At 34.8% G+C, this 23516-nt stretch overlaps 3 annotated features.

Annotated features, from left to right (window-relative positions):
• Positions 3979-4179: a silencer, noted in NCBI's record as "peak6163 fragment used in MPRA reporter construct". NCBI's record gives its function as "represses an SCP1 promoter by STARR-seq MPRAs in K562 erythroleukemia cells {active_cell/tissue: K562}" and the evidence as "EXISTENCE:reporter gene assay evidence [ECO:0000049][PMID:32103011]".
• Positions 21349-21919: an enhancer, noted in NCBI's record as "H3K27ac-H3K4me1 hESC enhancer chr6:142066906-142067476 (GRCh37/hg19 assembly coordinates)". NCBI's record gives its function as "activates a minimal SCP1, AML or CMV promoter by ChIP-STARR-seq in primed H9 embryonic stem cells {active_cell/tissue: H9 hESC(primed)}" and the evidence as "EXISTENCE:reporter gene assay evidence [ECO:0000049][PMID:30033119]".
• Positions 21920-22489: an enhancer, noted in NCBI's record as "H3K27ac-H3K4me1 hESC enhancer chr6:142067477-142068046 (GRCh37/hg19 assembly coordinates)". NCBI's record gives its function as "activates a minimal SCP1, AML or CMV promoter by ChIP-STARR-seq in primed H9 embryonic stem cells {active_cell/tissue: H9 hESC(primed)}" and the evidence as "EXISTENCE:reporter gene assay evidence [ECO:0000049][PMID:30033119]".

The following is a 23516-nucleotide window of genomic DNA, read 5'->3' on the forward strand; positions in this document are numbered from 1 at the left end:
AAGTCATAGTGAGATAGGTTTATAGACTCCTAAATTATACAGAAATTCACCCATTTTTTCTATTACATATATGTTTTCCTTTTTTTAGAGTTACATGCCAGATTTATTTAATATAACTCCATTATATGTTAAGAACTATAGGTTTTAATGTTGATTTAGAAATGGTCATTTTGAGAACGACTTTTGTGGGGGCTCTCTGAACAAAAGATGAAATGACATATTGAGATTATATTAAATTTAATTGACTTGGGTAAATTACCATCTCCATGATGTATCATCTCATCCGACTACATGGGCTTTCCTTCTTTCCTTTTGAGATGTTTTATAGTTTTCCTCAGTCAGGTTTTGTACTTTTCTTGATACATTTATTCATAGGACTGTTACCTACAGATACAACCTTTTAGTTATAATGGGTCCTTCTATAAATTACACTGTTAGTGGGAGTTCTCCAGAAAGACAGAAATGATGTGCATGTCAGGGGGTGGGAGTGGGAGGGGTGGTGGGAGAGATCCATTTTAAGAATAGGTCACATGATGGGAGAGGCTGATAAGTTCAAAATCTGCAAAGTAGATGAGCAGCCTGGAGACCCAAGGAAGAGCTGGTACTGCACCTCAAGACCAAAGGTAGACTGCTGACATTTTCCTCTTTCTCGGGAGAGGTCTTTTTTTTTCTATTAAAAATGTGACTGATTGGATGAAGCCCACCCATATTATATAGAGTAACTTGCTTTACGTAAAGTCTGCTGATTGAAATGTTAATCTCATCTAAAAATACCTCCACCGATACACCTAGAATAGTGTTTGACCAAATATCTGGACCCTGTGGCCTGGCCATCAAGCTGACACATAAAATTAACCATCACAAGAAACTTTACTCTTAGAATATTAATTTTATATCCATATCCTGTTACTTACTCAAATATTTAATCTTTATTTCATCTCTCTCTCGAGAGAGAGAGATATCTTCCCCCCTTCCACCATCTCCTTTTCTTTGATTTTCTGTAGTTTTGCAGATATATTTTCACAGCATCTGCAAATAGAGATAATTTTACCTTTATGCTTTCTAATTTTACCTTTATGCTTTATGCTTTCATAACATGATTATGTTAGAAAGCATAATCATTTTCTTCTGGTCTGATTTTATTTTTTAATAATTTCAACACAATGTTTAAAAATGTAGCAATAATGAGCCTCATTTACCTTTTCTCTGAATTTAATAGACACTGGTTCAACATTTTCCTATGATTTAATATATGAGTTATTTTGATATAAGAAACATCCAATCAATTTCTCTTCTATTGAGCATTTTTATTTAATTTTATGTGAATTAGGTATTTACCTGTGAAAAGATATTTAATTTTGTGTAAAAATTTTCCTGGAAATTGTATAATTTTTTCTCATTCTATCTATTCAATAACATGAATTATATTAATTGATTTTCTAAGTTTTTTCATCTCTGGATTACTGCAATAAATCTTAATCATTATTCATTAATTTTAATGTGCTACTACCTCTATTATTAATATTACTTTATTTCAAATATCATCAACAGTATTTGTACAGATGAGGTTGATCTGCAGTTATACTTTATGTGAAATCATTATTGGATTTAAATATTAATATTTTGCCTGTGCATCTGTTATGTTCTATCTGGAAATCAGACACCACAGTAGGTATTCCAAACAGAAGCAATTTATGGATAAGTTAGTTACACATTTGGAAAAGATTAGAGGAGCAGAAGTAAAGATAACATTACTAAAAATCAAATTGCTGCAAACCAGTAAACAGTGATGCTGCAAGCCCAAGATCTCTGTGGCACACGTATAAAGTGGCTTTTGCTGCAAGTCAAATCCTCCTAAAAGGGAGCCTATCAGTGCCATGTCTAGACCAGAGCTATCTTTGCTGGGAACCACACTGCCTGAGCAGGAGGTTAAGGAGTCTGCATTCCCAGGCCTATGTTCCTGTTTGTGGCTGCAGCTGTCATTCCCAACACTGTGAACACTGTTGTTGCTGCTCCTATTCGTGCAGCCAGAAATGCCATGCCATACAGAAGGGGAACAGAATCAGTTCTTCCCTCCTAATCCTGTCTAATACTCATGAGTGCAATTCATTTGCCGAACCCAACTGGAGATCATTTATTTGGTATGGTTGTCTGGGAACTGTAGCTTGTGGGTCCCCGACCCTGCCCTACAGACTAGATCACAAAAGGGCAGAAACAGATCTGAGAACATGGAAATGACTGGGATAGCTTATTGCATAAAAGGAATTCAGAAGATTTCCTCTTTTTTTGTTTTGTTTTGTTTTGTTTTTCCTATTCACTAAGGCAGTTTGGGTAACCCTGGGATTATCTGGTCTTTGAATCCTCACCGAAGCCAAGTGCTTATTTGGGGGCAGGTCTTTAATGATAGGCTCTGTAAAAACTAGGCTGTTTACAATTCTGTGCTGGGATCAGTTTTGGTAACTTATATTTTTCCTAGAAAATTATCCATTTCCTCTAGGCTTCAAATTTCTTTGGCACACAGTTGCAAAAGTGGTTTCTTACAAACATCAAAAACCTCTCTATTTGAGGTTTGGTTATTTTCTTCTTACCACTTCTTATTTTGAATATTCTTTCTCCATTTTTCATTCCTTCTGTTTTCTAGTTACTGGGTTGTCACCTTTGTCATTATATTTAAATAACTTGGATTTAAAAAAAAAACTTTTTTTTTCTATTCTAATTTATTGACTTTTCCACTTGTATTTCTTAGTTTTCTTATTTTGACTTTTTAATGTCTTTGTCTATTGTCTTACCTTTTAAATTGTATGTTTATGGCTTTTATTTTCTTTCAACTATTTCCTAAAAATGTGAACATAGTTTCTATAAGCATTTCTTTCTAGAAATTCTATAATTTTGATTTGTATATTTCTTTTGACTCAAGATTTATTTTTTAAAGGATTCTTATCTCCAGTTAGGTAGACTTTACTTTTTGTAATTGGTTTTTAATCATACTGCATATTTATATGGCAAATGTTACTTGCATAATTTCAAATTTGTAGAATTAATCATTATTTTTAGAGCTATCAGGAATTTATTTTCTCATTATTCTGGAGGCAAAAAGTCTGAGATCAAGATGTCAGCAGGGTTGATTTCTACTGAAGACTTCCTCTGAGGTTTGCAGATCCCTGTCTTCCTATATCTTCACATGGCCTTGCTTTTGCATATGTTTGTGTTCAAATTTCCTCTTCTTTTAAGGACTCCAGTCATATTGAATTAGGGCCCATCCTAATGAATTCATTGTAACTTGATTACACCTGTAAAGATCCTATTTCCAAATTCAGCCACATTCTGAGATACTAGGCATTAGGATTTCAACATATGAATTAGGAAGAGGGCACAATTCAGTCTATAACACCTTGCATTCTTTGTGTCAAGGTCCTATCCCGCATGTACATGCCCAGAGAGCTTCCTTATGTCTGGGAGGGGCTGCTCAGAAAAACAACTTTAGAAACATGAATTATCCAAACCAGTTCTTAATTATAAAATATGAATGAACAACGAAGTCAACACAAAAAGATGAGAAGAATGACCATGTAAAGAGACCAGAATAAAATAACAGGAAACATTATTGCAGGAGATAAAAGAATAATTCAACAAACTAGGGAATATTAAAAAAACACACTTAATCTGCAGAGTTGGTGTGACTTATATGTATATTGCAGTCATAAAACAGTATGTTGTTGACTAATTAATTTGTATGATAAATTCATGCAAATTTTCAATACATTGCTTTAAAAGGCAGAAAGAAAATGTGAGAAAAACAAAAACATATAAAATAAAGAGGTTCACTTGTTACCAGTGGAGGGTGTCCGGATTCTTGGTGTCTTGAACAAAGAATTGGACAAAATGCACAAACAAAGCAAGGAAAGAAGGAAACAACAAAAGCAAAGATTTACTGAAAATGAAAGCACACTCCACACGATGGGAGTGGGCCAAGAATAGGGGCTCAAGAGCCCCATTACAGAATTTTCTGCAGTTTAAACACCCTCTAGAGGTTTCCACTGGATACCTGGTGTATGCCATATGTAAATGAAGACGATGAAGTAAAGTTACAAAATCATTTACTTGGTGTACGCCCTATGTAGATATTTCCTGTCATAGATGCAGGCAGTGTTTCCATTTGATTTAGTTCTAGGAAGTCAGCATGAATCGGCCTTATGTTCCCTGCCTCCAGACCCTATTCTTCTGCTTCACACTATCCACAAAAAGAGAAACTTTAAAACTGAGAATAGAAAACCATAAAAATTTTAAAGAAATGGGATTTTTCATACTGAAAGTGTTCCCTGAATGCTGAGCAGAATATATAAATAAAAGTCAGCCACATCACCGTGAGTTTTAGACATTACACATAAAGCAAATAAAAACAAATAAAGAAGAAACTGCTCCTTTAAAAAAATCAGGTCAGAGTTCTTAACAGCCATTATATATGTTATAAACAAATAGAGCAAATTCTTCATACTTTAAAAAAAATATGAGTTTGAACCTAGAATTATATCAAACCAAACTACCAAAGAAGTGTGAGGCAAAACTGTAGGTAGGTTTAGCCAAGGAAATAGTCAGATTTTTCTTTTTTTGCCAAGCACTAAGTTAAAATGTTAGTAATTTTTTAAAACATATCTGCATAGGCTGATAAAATATCAGTGGGGCTTATATATGTGTTTGCTATCTAAGACATACAATTTATGGAGACAGTTTTTATGTATCTGGAATTTACCCTGACAAGACAGTCTTAACATTCCTCTCAACTTGATGAAATTTTTGAAAGGTTTCTTCCTGACTATAGGCCCCTAATGTCCCTTTTCTGACATTTACTTTAAAAAACTTGTAATTGTATATTCTTTCTCTGCCTCTTTAAGTTGTGAATCTTCTTACAGCCTCTTGACAGTTTCACAACCAGAAATAAATTTCTCAAGGACCTGGGAGCCATCCTTTCGAAATGTAATCATCAAGAAAGTGCCCTTATCTTCCAGTCTCTGTGGGAGGGTAGGAACCTAATTTTAATAAGCTCTAATTAACAAATGCAGATGACCAACCCCCCGACTAAGTTCATCCAATACTTTTCCCATTAGCTCACCTCTATGCTTAAAAATTCTCCACTGGCCAGCGCGGTGGCTCACGCCTGTGGTCCCAGCACTTTGGGAGGCCGAGCCGGGTGGATCACCTGAGGTCGGAAGTTCCAGACCAGCCTGACCAACATGGAGAAACCCCGTCTCTACTAAAAATACAAAATTAGATAGGCGTGCTGGCGCATGCCTGTAACCCAGCACTCGGGAGGCTGAAGCAGGACAATCACTTGAACCTGGGAGGTGGAATTTGCAGAACCCGGGACCTGAGATCGCGCCATTGCACTCCAGCCTGGGCAACAAGAGCAGAAACTCTGTCTCAAGAAACAAAACAAAACAAAAAACAAAAACTCTCCACCTTGGTTTCAGTGGTGTTCAGTTTCTCTCCCCTTTTCTATAATACTAGTCTTCACCCCTATTGGAATAGTCTTCAATGAACTCGTTCTCTGTTTAATTCTGTCCACTGTAACTTTTCTTTGACAGCTCCAGGACTGATCATATGACATTGCAAATGCTGTAACCAGAGCTGGTTACTTCCAGTGTTTCAGCTCTCCATATCTCAGTTAACATCCTTAATTACCATATTAAATTTCAGAAATAGATTTTCTATGTGAATCTACCTGGGAAACAAGGAAATTAATGACAGAATTAAACATGGGAATCGACCTAGAAACCAATAACAGAAAGAGCTAGGAAATCTCAAAATACTTTGAGATTAAACAACACATTTTATTAATTAACTTTTTAAATTTTATTTTATTTTAAGTTTCAGGATACATGTGCAGGATATGCAGATTTGTTACATAGGTAAATGGGTGCCACGGTGGATGGCTGTACCCATCAACCCATCACCTAGATGTTAAGTGCAGCATGCATTAGCTATTCTTCCTGATGTTCTCTCTCCCCTTACCCAACCCCTGCAGGCCCCAGTGTGTGAACAACACACTTTTAAATAACACGTGTATCAAAAAATAACTGTCAAGAGAAATTTAGAAATAATTTGAATTAAATGAAAATAAAAAATACAACTTACTAAAATCTATGGACTGCAGCCAAAGTAATGTTTAAAGGTAGATTTATAGCTTTCAGTGCATATGTTATAAATAAATAAAGACGTAAAATGAGTAATACACTTCTCACCTTAGAAAAATAGAAAAAGACAAGCAAATTAAATCCAAAGTAAACTGAAAAAAAAATGAAATAATAAGAATTAGAGCAGAAATCGATGAAATAAAACACAGGAACTAAACAGAGAAATCAACAAAAACAAAACCTTGCTTTTTTCTTAAATAATAAAATCAATAAGCAACTAACCAGCTAACTATGGAAAATAAAAAGGATAAACAAATTACTAATATCAGAAATGAAAGAGGGGATATCACTACAGGTCCCAAGAACAATAAAAGGAAATAAAGGAATAATATGAACAACTCTATGTCCCAAATATGGTAAATTAGATAAAATTGACTAATTTCATTAAAGGCACAATGTGTCAAAATGTATACAACAAGAAATAGACAATGTGAACAGGCCTATATATATTAAATAAAATGAATCATTAATTAATAAGTTTCTAAAACAGCATGTGGCCCTGATGGGTTTACCAGTGAATTCTACCAGTGATTTCAGAAGAAATATTTCCTAAATCAGTCTATAAGGCAATATTGTGCTAATACCAAAATCAGAAAAACACATTACAAGAAAACCAAAAACCACCATCTTTCATATACATACATGCTAAAATCTTCAACAAAATTAGATTGTTAACATTTCATGTTTGCTATTCTGGGTCACTTGCCTCTTTACAAAAACTTTAGAATCAGTTGATATTTATAAAATAACTTACTGGATTTGGATTGCATGAAATTTATAGATCCATATTGAGAATCTATAGACCAACTTAGCAAGACTGATGTCTTGACAATATTGAGTCTTACTACTCATGAACATGGAATATCTCTTTATTTTCTTAGTTTTTAAAATGTCTTTTCCAGATTTTATAGTTTTACTTATAGGTCTTGAATATATTTTGTAGAAGTTATACCTAAGAATTTTATTCTGAGGTGCACTATTATTTATAAGGAGACTTAGAAACTTTTGTACAAAGATAATTGATAGCTGCAGGACTTTATTATACTTATTGGAGTCTTATTTTGGTTTTTCTGAAAACATCCTCTGTCGAAGATGCCTGTGATCTGCATAGGCTATCTTTGTGGTGGAAACTTCTGTGACTCCGGGCTTGCTTAAAATATTTAAACTAATATAGGGAGGGGAGGGAGCTCAGAAATTGTTCACCTACACAAGGTTTTGTTTCGTTTTGTTTTTTTTAAGATTTATTTGTTGAATTGTCTGACTCCAATTGGTAAACAAAAACATCACAAAAATTACATTAGCAACTTTAAAGGACAGCAAGCCATGAAAAATATTCATATAATTTCCACTAGTAATCTTATTTTCAGAATAAATTTTAATAAAATAATCCAAATGGTAAAATATTGCATGTGTAATAATTAGCTTAGAATAGATAAATTGCAAAATGGCCATAAACATAGAATAAGAATAAAAAAGAAGCAATTATAAGAAGATACATACTTGATAAATCATGTTTTAAGTACTACATATTTAACAAATATGTATTTTAAATGTTGGCAAAATAATCTTTTAAAATCTAAAATTTCATAGCGATATGAATCCAATCTATAATATCATAAATGAAGTATAGCTCACAAATATGAATTTTAATTGTATATATAATTAGTCATATTCACTCAAGGTCTTTGCTTTTAAGCCAGTTGGCATTTGGACTAATTTATTTGCTCCCTATTCATTCAAAATTTTCCATTTTATAATAAGATGTATTTATTTTGTGATAAATATGTTGATTTTTTTTTTTCCAGAAGTAATTTCCTATTGGGTAGTGTTTCACTGTATGATCCTCCTTTTCTTTTCTCAATTTCCAGAATAAGACCTGGAGTGAGAAAGTCACTTTTCTTCAGATAAATTTTTCTTATCAGCTCATCATTGTCGGTCTCTGCACAATATCCACATTCTCTATTCTAAGTTATCAAAATTTAAAATGTAAATATATATACATAAATATATGACAGAAGGAGCTGATGACAGCACTTCTGAGAGAAAGAGACTAAAAGGGCACAGAAAGGGCAGATCAGGTGGCCAATCACAAGCTCTGCCAGTTTTTTATTTTCATATAAACTAGTCCTAATTTTTCTGAGAAATCTTTAAAAGAAGGTATTTTACCCACATTAGAGGTACTATGAATCCCATAAATTTGCAACTGTCAGCATCAGAGCTAAAAGAGATTTGAAAATAGATATTGCCTGTTTATGTATTTTGAATTAAAATGAAGCTTTCTTTACTCACAGTGATGTGGGAATGTAATACTATGTCTTTATGTAAATATCATGATAAACCTTGATAAACTGTGGACTCTGAAGTCTGGCAAAGAGTTAAGAAACACCAGTGTAAAATATGACAGCTATAGATGGGACAGCAGAAAACTAAATAACAATTTGCCTCATTATTTTTGTTCTGTGATCACCTTTTTTGTAGAATATTGGGCTTATTTTCTTTAAAAATATTCAATGTGCAAAGAGTTTATAGTTCATCTCAACCTATTTTATCAGTCATTATTACAGTTACAATTCCTTCAGCACTTTTCCTCTAAACTTAAAGAATACAGAACCTATTGTTTCATTAAATATTTATTTTTTCACTGATATTTTGAAGAGTAATATCCATAGAGTCTAGATAAACCTCCATAGGTATGAACTTGTAAAATACAAGCTGGACAGATGCTCTCTGAATGTACAATGGGGAAAAAGTATTTTCCAGCTGTGTAAGATTATAGTCAGCCTAGGTATTATAAAGCAGATCATTGAATTAATGTAAAAAATCACTGATATTAAAGGTTATTAAAGCATTCTTAGACTTCCAATGCTACACTATTTTTCTAGAGGATAATTTGTACATTGGGAGATTAAAACTAAATGCGAGAAAAATACCAGTAACTTGGAGCTTTGCATCATTATTTATTTATATTCAAGAAAAATATAATAAAATGAATCATACTAAATTTTTATTTTCCACAAATGGCTTCTAGGAAAACCTGTGATTTAGAGACACACATATGTGTTTATTCAGCTAGGATTTTTGATTTGTTGTATGAGGCACTGTGAAGGATGTTTGAGATGCATCATGAATAAAACACTTCCTCCATTCTGGGTACCAAAAATACAAGAATATAATGATTTTGTAATTGCTAGCAAGTAGCAGGAGCAAGTAAGAGTGGCTACTGAGATCAGGCACAATGGTTCACGCCTGTAATCCCAATACTTTTGGAGGCTGAGGCAGGAAGATTGCTTGAGGCCAGGACTTTAAGATGAGCTTGGGCAACACTGTGAGACCTTATCCCTTTAAAAAAGTAAAAAATTAGCCAGGTGTAGTGGCACACATCTGTGGTCCCAGCTACTTGAGAGTCTGAGGCAGGAGGATCACTCCAGCCTAGGAGATGAAGACTATACTGAGCTATGATCATGCCACTGCACTGCAGCCTAGGCAACAGAGTGAGACCTGTCTCAAATTAATAAAATAATAAAATAAAATTTAAGAGTGGCAATATATTAACAGACTGAAGCTCTGGTACATAATAGGTGAAAAAAATGTAATAAGGAAATGTCTAATAATATATCAGTATAAAGGGGTGTGTGTGTGTGTGTAAATCAAGAATATGGGACAGCGTGGGATGGCTGAAAGAAAATACCACAGCCAGACAGTGAGAAACAAGTGAGATCAAGATACCCCAGGGACAGGAGAATAAAAACCCTCAGAATGCATAATAATCTTGCAGCAGAATATAGATTATAGGCTTGTTTGACACTATGCTTGAGTTACAAATGTCTGAGCCAAAACTTGAGGGATAAAGTAGGATTTTGTTAATTGGCATTGGAGCAGCAAAAGATATTAGGGGGAATAGAATGGGAGAAGGAGACAGTTCAGGTGGCGGAAATGGCATATGCAAAGCAAATATTAAAGAGTTCATAGATTATTTAGTAAGCATAACATTTTATCAGAAGAGTGAAAAGCAAGCTTACATTCACTTCCACTTCCTCTTAATATACTCATAGAGTATACAGTGCAGTTTTTGTACTCCACTTAATAGGTAAATGGGTAAAAGATTTAATTAGGCAACCAAATGTCATTTACTTTACATGAAACCTGGACATATGCATTAATTGAAGTTTTACTGATATTTATTTTATGAATTGTATAAATAATTAACTGTTTCAGAGTGTACTGGAAATTTGTTTGCTACAATTCCAGTTTTGATACAATTTCAAAAACCAGTGCTCTAAAGCACTGGTTTTGGAAGACAACAACTTCTCAGCAGTCACCTGAAGTTTTATTTGTTTGCTTTTTATTGTTCCTCAGCCCAATCTATGCCATTTTTAAGTGCACATCCTGGAATCCTCGCAGTGAAGATTTTCTAGGGTATTTTACCATTCATTTCTCAATTATACTTTTGTTGCAAGACAATACTACTGCAAGTTCTTTAACTTCCTAATGATAATTAAACCACAGATGCATAATTAAATGTATCCAAGCTTAAACAAATTAAGTCAAATAAAATTCCAGTGTGTTCCTCATCTGAAAACATAAACAGTCTTATATAGAAATCTGCATTCTCTCTTGAAAAGGAATATTTTATCATTCAGTTATGTTTTCAAGTGGATAAAAGGCAATAATTTATCATCTATCACAGAGTCCATCTTATGAATTTATTTTGCTTAGGTAAACAATTTGAGAAAAGTATATGTAATAACACTGTGAGTAGAAAGACCTCTTAGATGGTGTCAGTGACTATCATATGTTCTATATGAATAAACAAGATATTCTGAACAATTGAGAAATAAAAGATTATTTTTATAAATCTACCAATGGATAATTCAACAAACATCTATTGAGAGCTATATATGATGTCACTCACTGAACACATATGTTAATAAGGTATAATTGTCAAGAAGTTAATAATCAAATGAGGGAAACTGAGAAGCTGGAGTTTACATAACAATGCTGATCATGTTAATAAAGGTATGCACAAGATACACTGGAAGCATTAAAGAGAAGCTGCCAACTTCTTTGTAGAAGAGGAAAGATTTCACATAAATAGAGAAAAGCCTGGTAAAGTCATAGAGGAAAAATTTTTAGGGAGATAATATACCATTTTGAAAAATATTAGCAATACTTACCATTTGATAGTTGAAATACTGGGTACCACTCTTTTATTTTTCCAGGTATGAGAAAAACCTGTTGTTTTTGTTTAGTTGCTGTTTTTACAATTGTTTATCTCAAGGCATAACGTGAGTTTTCAAAATTTTATTTGTTATTTGCTTTTGCTTTTGCTTTTGACAGGTGGATGTAATGTACATGTTTACCAATTATGGCAGCAAGGCACAGTGTCAATCTGCTATTTCATTTTATCCTTGTATTTAGGTTCCTCTAAAGCATGATTTCAGCATTTAATTATACTAAGTAATTTTCTGTTTAATGTTGGAAATTTTATGCTTTGTGTTTCTCCTTTACCATGATTGCCACAAGATACATTAATTAATATATAAAAACGCCATGTTATGGTTAACAAAACTGTGAGTACAATACTTGATTATCCTAAGGCTTAAGAATTAATGTTCCTTTAGGTACTGTACTCCAAAGCACCTATTACAGAATCGCAATTCAATCACACCTATAGCCAGAAATAGGTTTTATTGCCCTTATGATCTCATCCTGACCACTTTGAGGCTAGGAAAATAATGATATGATTCATTTCTACCGGGGTGGCCAGCAGGACATATCAATCCAAGGGTATCTTTTATTTAACCAGTTATTTATTTGTAAAATCAGCACATGTTTGAATATACTTGATCTGTGAGGAAGAAACATTTGTTACAGCACATAAGGATAGATTTCCGTTAGCTATAGAATACATGCTATGCTAATTTGTGAGAGACCACTTAGGCATCAAATACACAAATGAAGTACAGTCCTAACTAAAACATGAGTTCTTAATAAACTTTGTAAATAACCACATGGTCATGAATAGTGAGGAACCTTGTCAGTATGCTTTGTTCCATATATAACAATAGTTCTGAGTAATTTTGTAGGCAAGGTAAGTCTATTCAATCTGTATGTCTATATTTCTACTCTCGGTAGATCCATTACCTTTAACCTTTCCTAATGATTTAGTATCTTATACTTAAGAATTTTTATAAGCTATATTTTCTGGATCGTGTAGGGCCAACTTGAATAAGAAACTAGATAAGGTTTCATTAAAGTTTATACAAATATAACCTGTTACGTTTATTATAGCTAAGGTAGAAAAGAAAAGGATGTTTCTCTATGTCCATTAGAAAACAGAACTTTGGCCATAATAAATCCACTTTATTAGCTCCTAAGAAATTAATTATTGTTGTGATTATCTTGGTGTAGTTAAGAATATTCATGCATGAAGTTGTCAGCTACTAGGATAAGAGAGCTTTGGAAATCTTAACTCAGTTTCACAAGATGAAAAGGATCTCTTTATAGTGAAAATATCTGTTTGAACTTGAGAAGCCTGTCCATGGGTGTATGCCCTGAAATATTAATTGTAAAAACTAACTGTGAGTGTTATGTACTGAGTTATTCTTTTGACCTTTTTTCAGAATAGTTATACAGCAGCCTGTAAACAAGGGTAAGGGAAGTGAAGAAACTATCTGTCAATAATCAGATTATAAGATTCTGGTTAATTTAATGCAAGATACTGCAATTTCAGAATGAAGGAGAATGGAATGCTTTACTGAGATAATGTTCAGTTCATAACGATTAAATCAATGACAATCCTGACAGTAAGAAAATATTGTGAACAGTGAAGTATTGACAAATCTCCAGAAACATCTAATTCATCTAAGAAAGTGTTTGTTGTGCTGGTCATGAATTGACGAGAGATTACAAAATACTCTTATAAATCAACTTGATGGCAGTTACTGACATTCTATATACATGAGCATGATTGTGCTTTTTTCCGTCTTGAAAGGGACACAAACCCTGAAATATTTTTTAACATGCCCCTAATATCTTTTTAACCTAGAGAACCTGTTTTTGGTTTTTATTTTTATTTATTTATTTATTTATTTTAAGACAGAGTCTCACTCTGTCACCCAGGCTGGAGTGCAGTGGCGCGATCTCGGCTCACTGCAACCTCCGTCTCCCAGGTTCAAGTGAGAGAAACTGTTTTAATTTCTCCTTTTGGTTTGTCAATACTTTCCATAATGAAGGGTTTAAAACCAGTACAGTTGTCTGTATATTGTAAGCTAATTAAAAATACAATACAGAGACTATCAATAATACATAAACTTTTTGTATCCCTTCTGTAGTTATATGAGGGAAAAGAACTTGGGATCAATTACTTTTCTAGGAAATCTCAAAGGTATTCTGGGTATAAAGAAGTCTAACAGTTTTATTATTTAGAAATGAGTTCTTAAATTTGATTTAAGAAAACCCATATCAAAAACATGTGTTAGAAAATACAAGACAAGATAATAATCTTTAGTATCTAAAGAGAATAAATGGTTTCAATTTTGATGTAAAGTGACAATACTTAAGGTGAACACAAGAAGTAATAATTATTAGAAAATCTATCCTTTCAAAAGTGAAAAATACTTGTTAATAATTTAAAAAATGAAAAAAGAGGTACATAAAGTAACAGGCTTTAAAGTGAGGGCATTTGGGCATTATTAGGAACCTCATCCATCTAATCATCGAATACCTTTTTATTTTTGCATTTTCATGTAAACAGCAGGATATATTTGTCTTTTTAAAGGCAAGAAAAAAATTATTTCACTTTTTTGCATAGAACCTGCATAAAATTTTGCATTATTCACAATCTATAAAAATTTGCCCACCTTTTCGGCCTTTAATATATTTCTTTTAAAATTTGTCTTTCAGATTTGTGATTATATATGTATTACATATAATTATATATGTGTATTATGTATATATTATATATGTTATATACATATTCACAATCTGGCACAACAGGACTTTTTTTTAAGACAGAACTTATTTATATGAACAAAATATTTCAACAAATAAAATACATCCATTATCTTATGTATACATTCATGTTTCTTTAAAATTATTATACCTAGCGTAGTGAACCTAGGTATACAAATTTTGTTCCCATTAAGACACTGAAAAACTGTGGAAGTAATTAAAGGTGAACTGTCATCCACTTGTACCTTAGCAAATCCACATATCTCCTGTAAGGCAATCCTTCCATAGGCATACATGTCCTTTTTTAAAAAAAAAATTAATAGACTTTACGTTTTAGGACATTTCGATATGTATATACGAGTTGAGAGGATGGTACAGAGAGTTCCCAAATACCTCATACCCAGTTTCTCCTTAACATCTTACACTGGTATGTTACAATTGTGATAATTAACAAAGCAGTATTAATATACTGTTATTTACTATAATCCATAATTTATTTAGAGTTCCGTACTTTTTGCCTAATGCTGTGTGTGTGTGTGTGTGTGTGTGTGTGTGTGTGTGTGTGTGTTTGACTGTTTGTGTGTGTGTCTCCAGCATCCCATTCAGGGCACTACATTATATTTGCTCATTCTGTCTCCTTAGGCTCCTTTTTGCTGTGGCAGTTTCTCGGACTTTTATTATTTTTATGACCTCAACAGATATGAGGAGTACAGGTCAGGTATATTGTGTAAGACGCTCCAGTTTGGAATGTGTCTGATGCTTTTCTTATAATAAAATTGTGGTTACGAGTTATTGAGAGGAAGATGACAGAGAAAAAGACCACCATGTTTATCACATCAAATCAAAGATACATTCTATCAACCTGACATACCTCTGTTGGTGTTGGCCTTGACGACCTAACTAAGCTAGTGTTTATCAGATTTCTCCACTGTGAAGTTATTCTTTTTTCCTCATTTCATGCTGTATTTTTTGGAAGAAAGTTACTATGTGCAGCTTCCAATTATGAAGTGGGTAGTTATGCTGTCCTTCCTTAAGGGTGGAGTATCTATACAAATTATGAAGAATTCTTATGCATGTGTGTTTACCTCTTTTCCCCCATTCATATATTTATTTACTCATTTATTTGTATAGGTATAGAATAATAGATATGTATTTTATGCTTTGGATTATAATCCGGTACTACTTTTGTTATTTATTTTGTTGCTCAAATTGTTCCAACTTTGGCCATTGGGAGCTCTTTCAATTTGCTCCTGTATCGTTCCTACATGCCCCTATTATATTGGGATTTTTAGCACCTCCTTATAAATTACGAGATGCTTCAGACTCATCTTGTATATTTCCTATCCCAGTCCTAGATGCAGTCGCTTCTCCAAGGAGTCTTGGTTCTTTTAATTGGAAAACAGTATTAGAAAGCAAGATCTAGGATCTAGGTGTGCTCCTTGATAATCAGGTATCTTTTATTGTATGCTCTCTTAGCTGACAAATCAATGTTACGTCTGTGTGTTTAAAAACCTGTGTATAGGCACAAGTCTATAAGTATTTCTGTATGTAATGATATCTATTTGTGTTAAGCTAAACATGAGTTCATACAGCTGTTCCAACTCTGATCTATTGTCACATGGTTCACTCGAGATTGTTCCCCTTATCTGTGGATTCCCACTCCAACAGTTAGAAACCTGAATGCAACCATCTGCCATTCATTTGGTTAATTGTTCAACTGCAGTATACATATATGTGAAGCAATATCAGAACTATTAACCTTTAGCTCCATGGAAAAAATGTCAGCTAGAATACACGTTTGTGCAATTTCTTTTCTCTTTAGTCCTACAGACCCCAGTCATTTCCAGACTGACTTAGGTCATCACTTTTCTCCATATCCCATTCAATGAGGTTGGTACATACATGTGTGATACAGATAAATTTACTCATCACAGTCTGCATTCCTTCCTGGAATCCCCTGACCTCCTAAATGATGTTTTAAAACTTGCATATATTAAGGTTCACCTTTGTGCTCTAAAACTCTATGGGTTTTAACAAATGCATAATGCCATGTATCTAGCGACACACAGAATAGTTTCACTGTGTGAAAACTCTCATTCTTCATCTATTTATTCTCTCCCACTTCATCCGAACCCCTGGCAACCACTGTTATCTGTTTACTGTCTTGATAGTTTTGTCTTTTCAGAATTTCATAAAATTAGGAGCATATAGTATATAGCATTTTCAGGCTTTTTTGAGGCAAGAAGCATTTGGGGTTCTTCCCTGTTTTTCTCTGTCCTAAAAACTCTATTTTTTCTGTCACCGAATAACTTTACCTTACATGGCTGTATTCCAGTTATTATTATTTTTTTAATCCGGTCACCTATTGAAGGATATCTTGGTTATTGACAGCTTTTGATGATTATGAAAAAGGCTGCCATAAATATTTATATGCAGTACTTTGTGTAGATTTATGTTTTCAAATCAACTGGGTAAATACTTAGAAGCTCAAGTGCTGTGTCACATGATAAAACTATTTTAGGAAATTTCCGAAGTGGTTCAACCATTTTGCATTCCTAACAGCAGCGAATGAGAGTTTCTATTGCTCCACATTTTCCCCAGCACTTGGTATTGTTGTTGCTGTTGTTTCAAATTTTATCCATTCAAAAATGTTTATAGAATCTGACAAAAAAAGCAATGGGGAAACGATTTGCTATTTAATAAATGGTGGTGGGAGAACTGGCTAGCTATGTGCAGAAAATTAAAACTGGACTCCTTCCTTACACCTTTACAAAATTAACTTAAGATGGATTAAAGACTTAAATGTAAAACCCAAAACTTAAAAAACCCTAGAAGAAAATCTAGGCAATACCATTCAGGACATAGCCACAGGCAAAAATTTCATGCTGAAAATGCCAAAAGCAATTGCAACAAAAGCAAAAATTGACAATGGGATTTAATTAAACTAAAGAGCTTCTGCACAGCAAAAGAAACTATCATCAGAATGAAGAGACAGAATGAAGAGTGGGAGAAAATTTTTGCAATCTATCCATCTGACAAAGGTCCAATATCCAGAGTATACAAGAGCTTAAACAAATTCACAAAAAAACCCCAAACAACCCAATTCAAAAGTAGGCAAAGAACATGAACAGACACTTCTCAAAAAAAAATTCATGTGGCCAACAACCATATGAAAAAAAGCTCAACGTCACTGATCATTAGAGAAATGCAAATCAAAACCACAATGAGATCCCATCTTATGCCAGTCAGAATAGTGATTATTAAAAAGTCCAGCAAGAACAGATGCTGGCAAGATTGCAAAGAAAAAAGAACACTTTGACACTGTCGGTGGGAGAGTAAATTAGTTCAATCACAGTGGAAGAAAGTGTGGTGATCCCTCCAAGATCTAGAAGCAGAAATACCATTTGACCCTGCAATGTCATTACTGGGTATATACCCGAAGGAACACCAATCATCCTGTTATAGATACATGCACACATATGTTCATTGCAGCACTATTCACAATAGCAAAGACATGGAATCAACCCATATGTCCATCAATTATAGATGGATAAAGAATATGTGGTACAAGTATACCATGGAACACTATGCAGCCATAAAAAGGAACGAAATCATGTTGTTTGCAGGGACTTGAATGGAGGTGGATGCCATTACCCTCAGCAAACTAATGCAGGAACAGAAAGTCAAACATCATATGTTCTCACTTATAAGTTGGAACTGAACAATGAGAACACACGGATACATGTGGGGGAACAGCACACACTGGGGCCTGTCATGGTGGAATGGGGAGGAAGAGCATCAGTAAGAATAGCTAATGGATGCTGTGTTTAATACCTAGGTGATAGGTTGATCTGTGCAGCAGACCACCATGGCACACGTTTACCTATGTAGCAAACTTGAACATCCTGCACATATATCCAGGAACTTAAAATAAAATTTGAAGAAAAAAGTTTGTTGTGAGTAGTATCTCATCGTTGTTTTGATTTGCAATTCCCTAATGACCAATAGTGTTTAACATTTTTCCATATGCTTATTTGCCCTCTATATATTTTCTCTAGTGGGCTATCTGTTCAAATTTTTTGCCCATTCTCAATTGTTTTTAGTTTTGTTCTTAAATTGTTGGCTTTAAGAGTCCTATTTTTTTAGATTTTAGATAAAAGTCCCTTATAAGATACATGGTTTGAAAATATTTTCTTTGTTGATTTGTGTTTTGATTCTCTTAATAGCATCTTCGGCAGGAGACCAATTTAAATTTTATGGTTATTATATAATAAATGGATAAATTACAAGTTAATAATTAATGATTAATACATTATTTATTAATATTAATAGTTATGTTGTTTTTCTCTTCTTGGATAATGCCTTTAGTATTGTTTTAAAAATTTATTGCCAAACCTAAGGTCACTTAGATTTTCTCCTATGTATCCATTTAGATATGTAATTTAATCTAATAATTTACTTTATTTAATCTGATGCATATCACCATACAAAAAACACACAGATTACTACTACTATTGTAAGTGTTCATAAATATTTCAGTTAGATATTTTAAGTGGAATAAGTAACTTACATAATGTTCAGCAATACCTGAAGTCCATAAGAGCTTACTGCTTTTGGAAGATACCAAATAATAATATTTAATTAAATTGTTCACATTATTTTTACATTTTTATACCTTTAAACCATTTGTGGGGAAAAAATACCACAACCAACAAAACTTAGCCAAAAATTTAACTGGGGAAATTGACATAATTTAAATTAATTTGATAAGAAAATAAATTGAAGTTTATTTGTAAATTATACTATTTACCTTTGTAAATTATAGTATTATGCTAATACTATTTTTTTTTTTTTACATTTTATGCAATCAGGGAAAACTTACCTACTTGATTTTAAGAGAAAATGTTTAAACTCATTTAATTTGTTCAAGGGTTCACACATATTAGGATATATAGAGACAGATCAACACAGATAGACAGATAGATAGATAGAATTTACAATTTTTAAAATAATTGTCATTATTGTTTTGATTAGCAACCACTGTTTGCATTTTCACATTCCACTTACTAGCCTAATATCACTTCAAATGTACTTACTCCTTATTACTTAACAGCCATGTTCATTTAGCTATTTCTCTGCGAAACTGCCATTTGCTCTCTGAGTTACTGCTTCAGCAAGTGTCTAAAGCGTTCATAACAATCCAGAATTTCCAAAGCAAGAGGTGTTATTTTTCCTTTCCTCAAAATTCTTAAATTCTTATATTTTAAATTTATGGATGCACTTTATCATTTTCTGTTATCTAATCAGAGGTTTTTTTACATTTAAAAGGCTTTGTAATGTGTAATAACTATTAGTTTTATTTTTATAAAAGAGATAGATTGAAATGGTCATAAATTCATTGTTACTCTGTTTTCTTTTACTTTAAATCAGGCCAAAAAGTTTTCATGCCACATTTGCTGTATGAAATCTGAGAGTAAGTCACCAACTGTTTTTCAGTTTCCCTCCAAGCCTCTTGAAATATTTGTTCTTAGGATGTCCCCTGCTTGTGCCACCTCTTCGAAGTTAGCTGCCATGTAATAAATAAGACTACCCGGAGACCAAAACATTATGAAAAATTCAAGTTTTACAGGACAAAAATCAAATCCAAGGGGTCATCAGTAAAATGTGGTTTTGGATAAATCCCTGATCCAAGTGTGGCTGTAACATGTTTTGTTAAGGTTTTAGAAAGATTTAAGGCACTCTTAGACTATGACAATTAACCAAAAAATTTCTGAGACTCTTGTATACCCTCTATTCCTTCTCAGCTAGTTAAAAGTCTCCTAAGAATATGAACTATGTGCCCTCTTGACTTTTGCTAAACCAAAGGTCTTCTAAAAGTTTTTAAGGCTATGATCTCACAGCACCCTCTCTCCCAAGACACAGAACTGTCTCAGAGATTTATGGCAATGGCTTTTATAAAAGAGAGTGAATCCCAATAAGATCCTTAGGAAACTCACAACCTTTCTAAGAGTGTTTTACTTGTAGAAACACTGCCTGTCAGCTTAGACTGAAAAGAGTCAGAGATAGTTCAAAATGAAAACATGCTCCTGAACCTTCAACACGCAGCTGTGAAAAGTCGACCATTTCTTATAAATAGAAAGGATGACTCACAGTGGAGAGTAATCTGGTTCAAGGATCTGCACTTGAAGAACCCTACCTGAGGGATTGCATCCATATCTGGGCTTAAGATGATGAGCTGCTGGCCCTCAAGTCTGGTCTTAATATTATAGATGAAGCTTCTAGGGACTGTGAGAGGAGATAAGTGTCCTCCATGCATGAGGAACACAAATAATTTGTGGCTGACTGTGGTTTATTATATATGACCACAACTGATTTGCAACATCTGCATTGGGAAGTGGAATCTATTTCCCCTCTCCATGAAACTGGGTTGGGCTTGTGAGTTGATTTGACCAATAGAATGTGGTGGGAGAGACTCAGTGTGATTTCCATGTCTGGGTCACAAGCCTTCTGACTTCCACTGCGCCTCTTGGAACACTTGCTTTTCAGATATTCCCTCTCAGAACCCAGCTGTGAAACCGTAAGAAGCCCAAGCCATTTGATAGGCCAAGTATAGATGTTCCTGCCAAAAGCCCCAGCTGAACTTCCAGATGTCAGGAAGCTTCAACTGCCAGCCATGTGAAAAAACTATTCAGTTGAGCCTTCTGCTATTTGCAGCCCTAGCCACCATCTGACCTCGATTTCCTGAGACACCAAAAATTTGAACTACCTGCCAAGTCCAGTGAACATGCAGACCCAACAAACATAATAAATTGGTGTTTTTAGCTGCAAAGTTATAGAGTGATTTGCTAAGTAGCAATAGATAAGTAAAACAACAGAGAAAGTTACAGTAATTTGCTCAGAAAATATTTTCTATTCATAGGATAGATGAATCTTAAAATTTAGAGTAAGCTGTGGAAATCTGGGGAAGTTTAGAACTGAATTTCTATAAACTGCATTATACTGTAGTTGTTTTCTTTAGTAATTGTTCATTTACATTGTAGGTCAAGCTGAAGTTTCAAAATTAAATTTATTTACATCTTATTTTCAGCACATAAAACATTTCCTCACATATGTATTTGCTATATTTATGTATTTCTATGGAGATTTTCTATTTACTTTGGAGATGAGAGAGAGGAAATCTTGTGCACTCAGAGCCCTTCAACTGTCTTGAGAGATGATAAAGCTCTTGGCAGGCCAAAAGCAATCAATTTTGTATCATTTAGGTTCTTATTCAAAAACACATTCAGCCAGATCCTTACAATTGCTATTTTAATCAGGCAGATTCTTATGTTAGAAATCAGAGATCTCCATTTTCAAAGCTAAATTTTTTTAAAGTTACAAAGTTTCCCTCTGTTAATAATAAATATGGATCTTTGAATTAGGTGCGCTTAAATGTAGTAAATGTATTAAAAGTGTTGACCAGAGGAGCCAAGATGGCGGAATAGGAATAGCTCCTGTCTACAGCTCCCAGCGTGAGCGACGCAGAAGACGGGTGATTTCTGCATTTCCCTCTGAGGTACCGGGTTCATCTCACTAGGGAGTGCCAGACAGTGGGCGCAGGTCAGTGGGTGCACACACCGTGCGCGAGCCGAAGCACGGCGAGGCATTGCCTCACTTGGGAAGCGCAAGGGGTCAGGGAGTTCCCTTTCCCAGTCAAAGAAAGGGGTGACGGACGCACCTGGAAAATCGGGTCACTCCCACCCGAATACTGTGCTTTTCCGACGGGCTTAAAAAATGGCACACCACGAGATTATATCCCACACCTGGCTCAGAGGGTCCTACGCCCACGGAGTCTCCCTCATTGCTAGCACAGCAGTCTGAGATCAAACTGCAAGGCGGCAGTGAGGCTGGGGGAGGGGTGCCCGCCATTGCCCAGGCTTGCTTAGGTAAACAAAGCAGCCAGGAAGCTCCAACTGGGTGGAGCCCACCACAGCTCAAGCAGGCCTGCCTGCCTCTGTAGGCTCCACCTCTGGGGGCAGGGCACAGACAAACAAAAAGACAGCAGTAACCTCTGCAGACTTAATGTCCCTGTCTGACAGCTTTGAAGAGAGTAGTGGTTCTCCCAGCAAGCAGCTGGAGATCTGAGAACGGGCAGACTGCCTCCTCAAGTGGGTCCCTGACACCTGAGCAGCCTAACAGGGAGGCACCCCGCAGCAGGGGCACACTGACACCTCACACGGCCCGGTACTCCAACAGACCTGCAGCTGAGGGTGCTGTCTGTTAGAAGGAAAACTAACAAACAGAAAGGACATCCACACCAAAAACCCATCTGTACATCACCATCATCAAAGACCAAAAGTAGATAAAACCACAAAGATGGGGAAAAAACAGAACAGAAAAACTGGAAACTCTAAAACGCAGAGCACCTCTCCTCCTCCAAAGGAATGCAGTTCCTCACCAGCAACGGAACAAAGCTGGATGGAGAATGACTTTGAAGAGCTGAGAGAAGAAGGCTTCAGACGATCAAGTTACTCTGAGCTACGGGAGGACATTCAAACCAAAGGCAAAGAAGTTGAAAACTTTGAAAAAGATTTAGAAGAATGTATAACTAGAATAACCAATACAGAGAAGTGCTTAAAGGAGCTGATGGAGCTGAAAACCAAGGCTCGAGAACTACGTGAAGAATGCAGAAGCCTCAGGAGCCGATGCGATCAACTGGAAGAAAGGGTATCAGCGATGGAAGATGAAATGAATGAAATGAAGCGAGAAGCGAAGGTTAGAGAAAAAAGAATAAAAAGAAATGAGTAAAGCCTCCAAGAAATATGGGACTATGTGAAAAGACCAAATCTACGTCTGATTGGTGTACCTGAAAGTGATGGGGAGAATGGAACCAAGTTGGAAAACACTCTGCAGGATATTATCCAGGAGAACTTCCCCAATCTAGCAAGGCAGGCCAACATTCAGATTCAGGAAATACAGAGAACGCCACAAAGATACTCCTCGAGAAGAGCAACTCCAAGACACATAATTGTTAGATTCACCAAAGTTGAAATGAAGGAAAAAATGTTAAGGACAGCCAGAGAGAAAGGTCGGGTTACCCTCAAAAGGAAGCCTATCAGACTAACAGCGGATCTCTCGGCAGAAACCCTACAAGCCAGAAGAGAGTGGGGGCCAATATTCAACATTCTTAAAGAAAAGAATTTTCAACCCAGAATTTCATATCCAGCCAAACTAAGCTTCATAAGCGAAGGAGAAATAAAATACTTTACAGACAAGCAAATGCTGAGAGATTTTGTCACCACCAGGCCTGCCCTAAAAGAGCTCCTGAAGGAAGCACTAAACATGGAAATGAACAACCGGTACCAGCCACTGCAAAATCATGCCAAACTGTAA

This window comes from Homo sapiens, chromosome 6 (genome assembly GCF_000001405.40).
Source record: "Homo sapiens chromosome 6, GRCh38.p14 Primary Assembly".
Taxonomy (NCBI): Eukaryota; Metazoa; Chordata; class Mammalia; order Primates; family Hominidae; genus Homo; species Homo sapiens.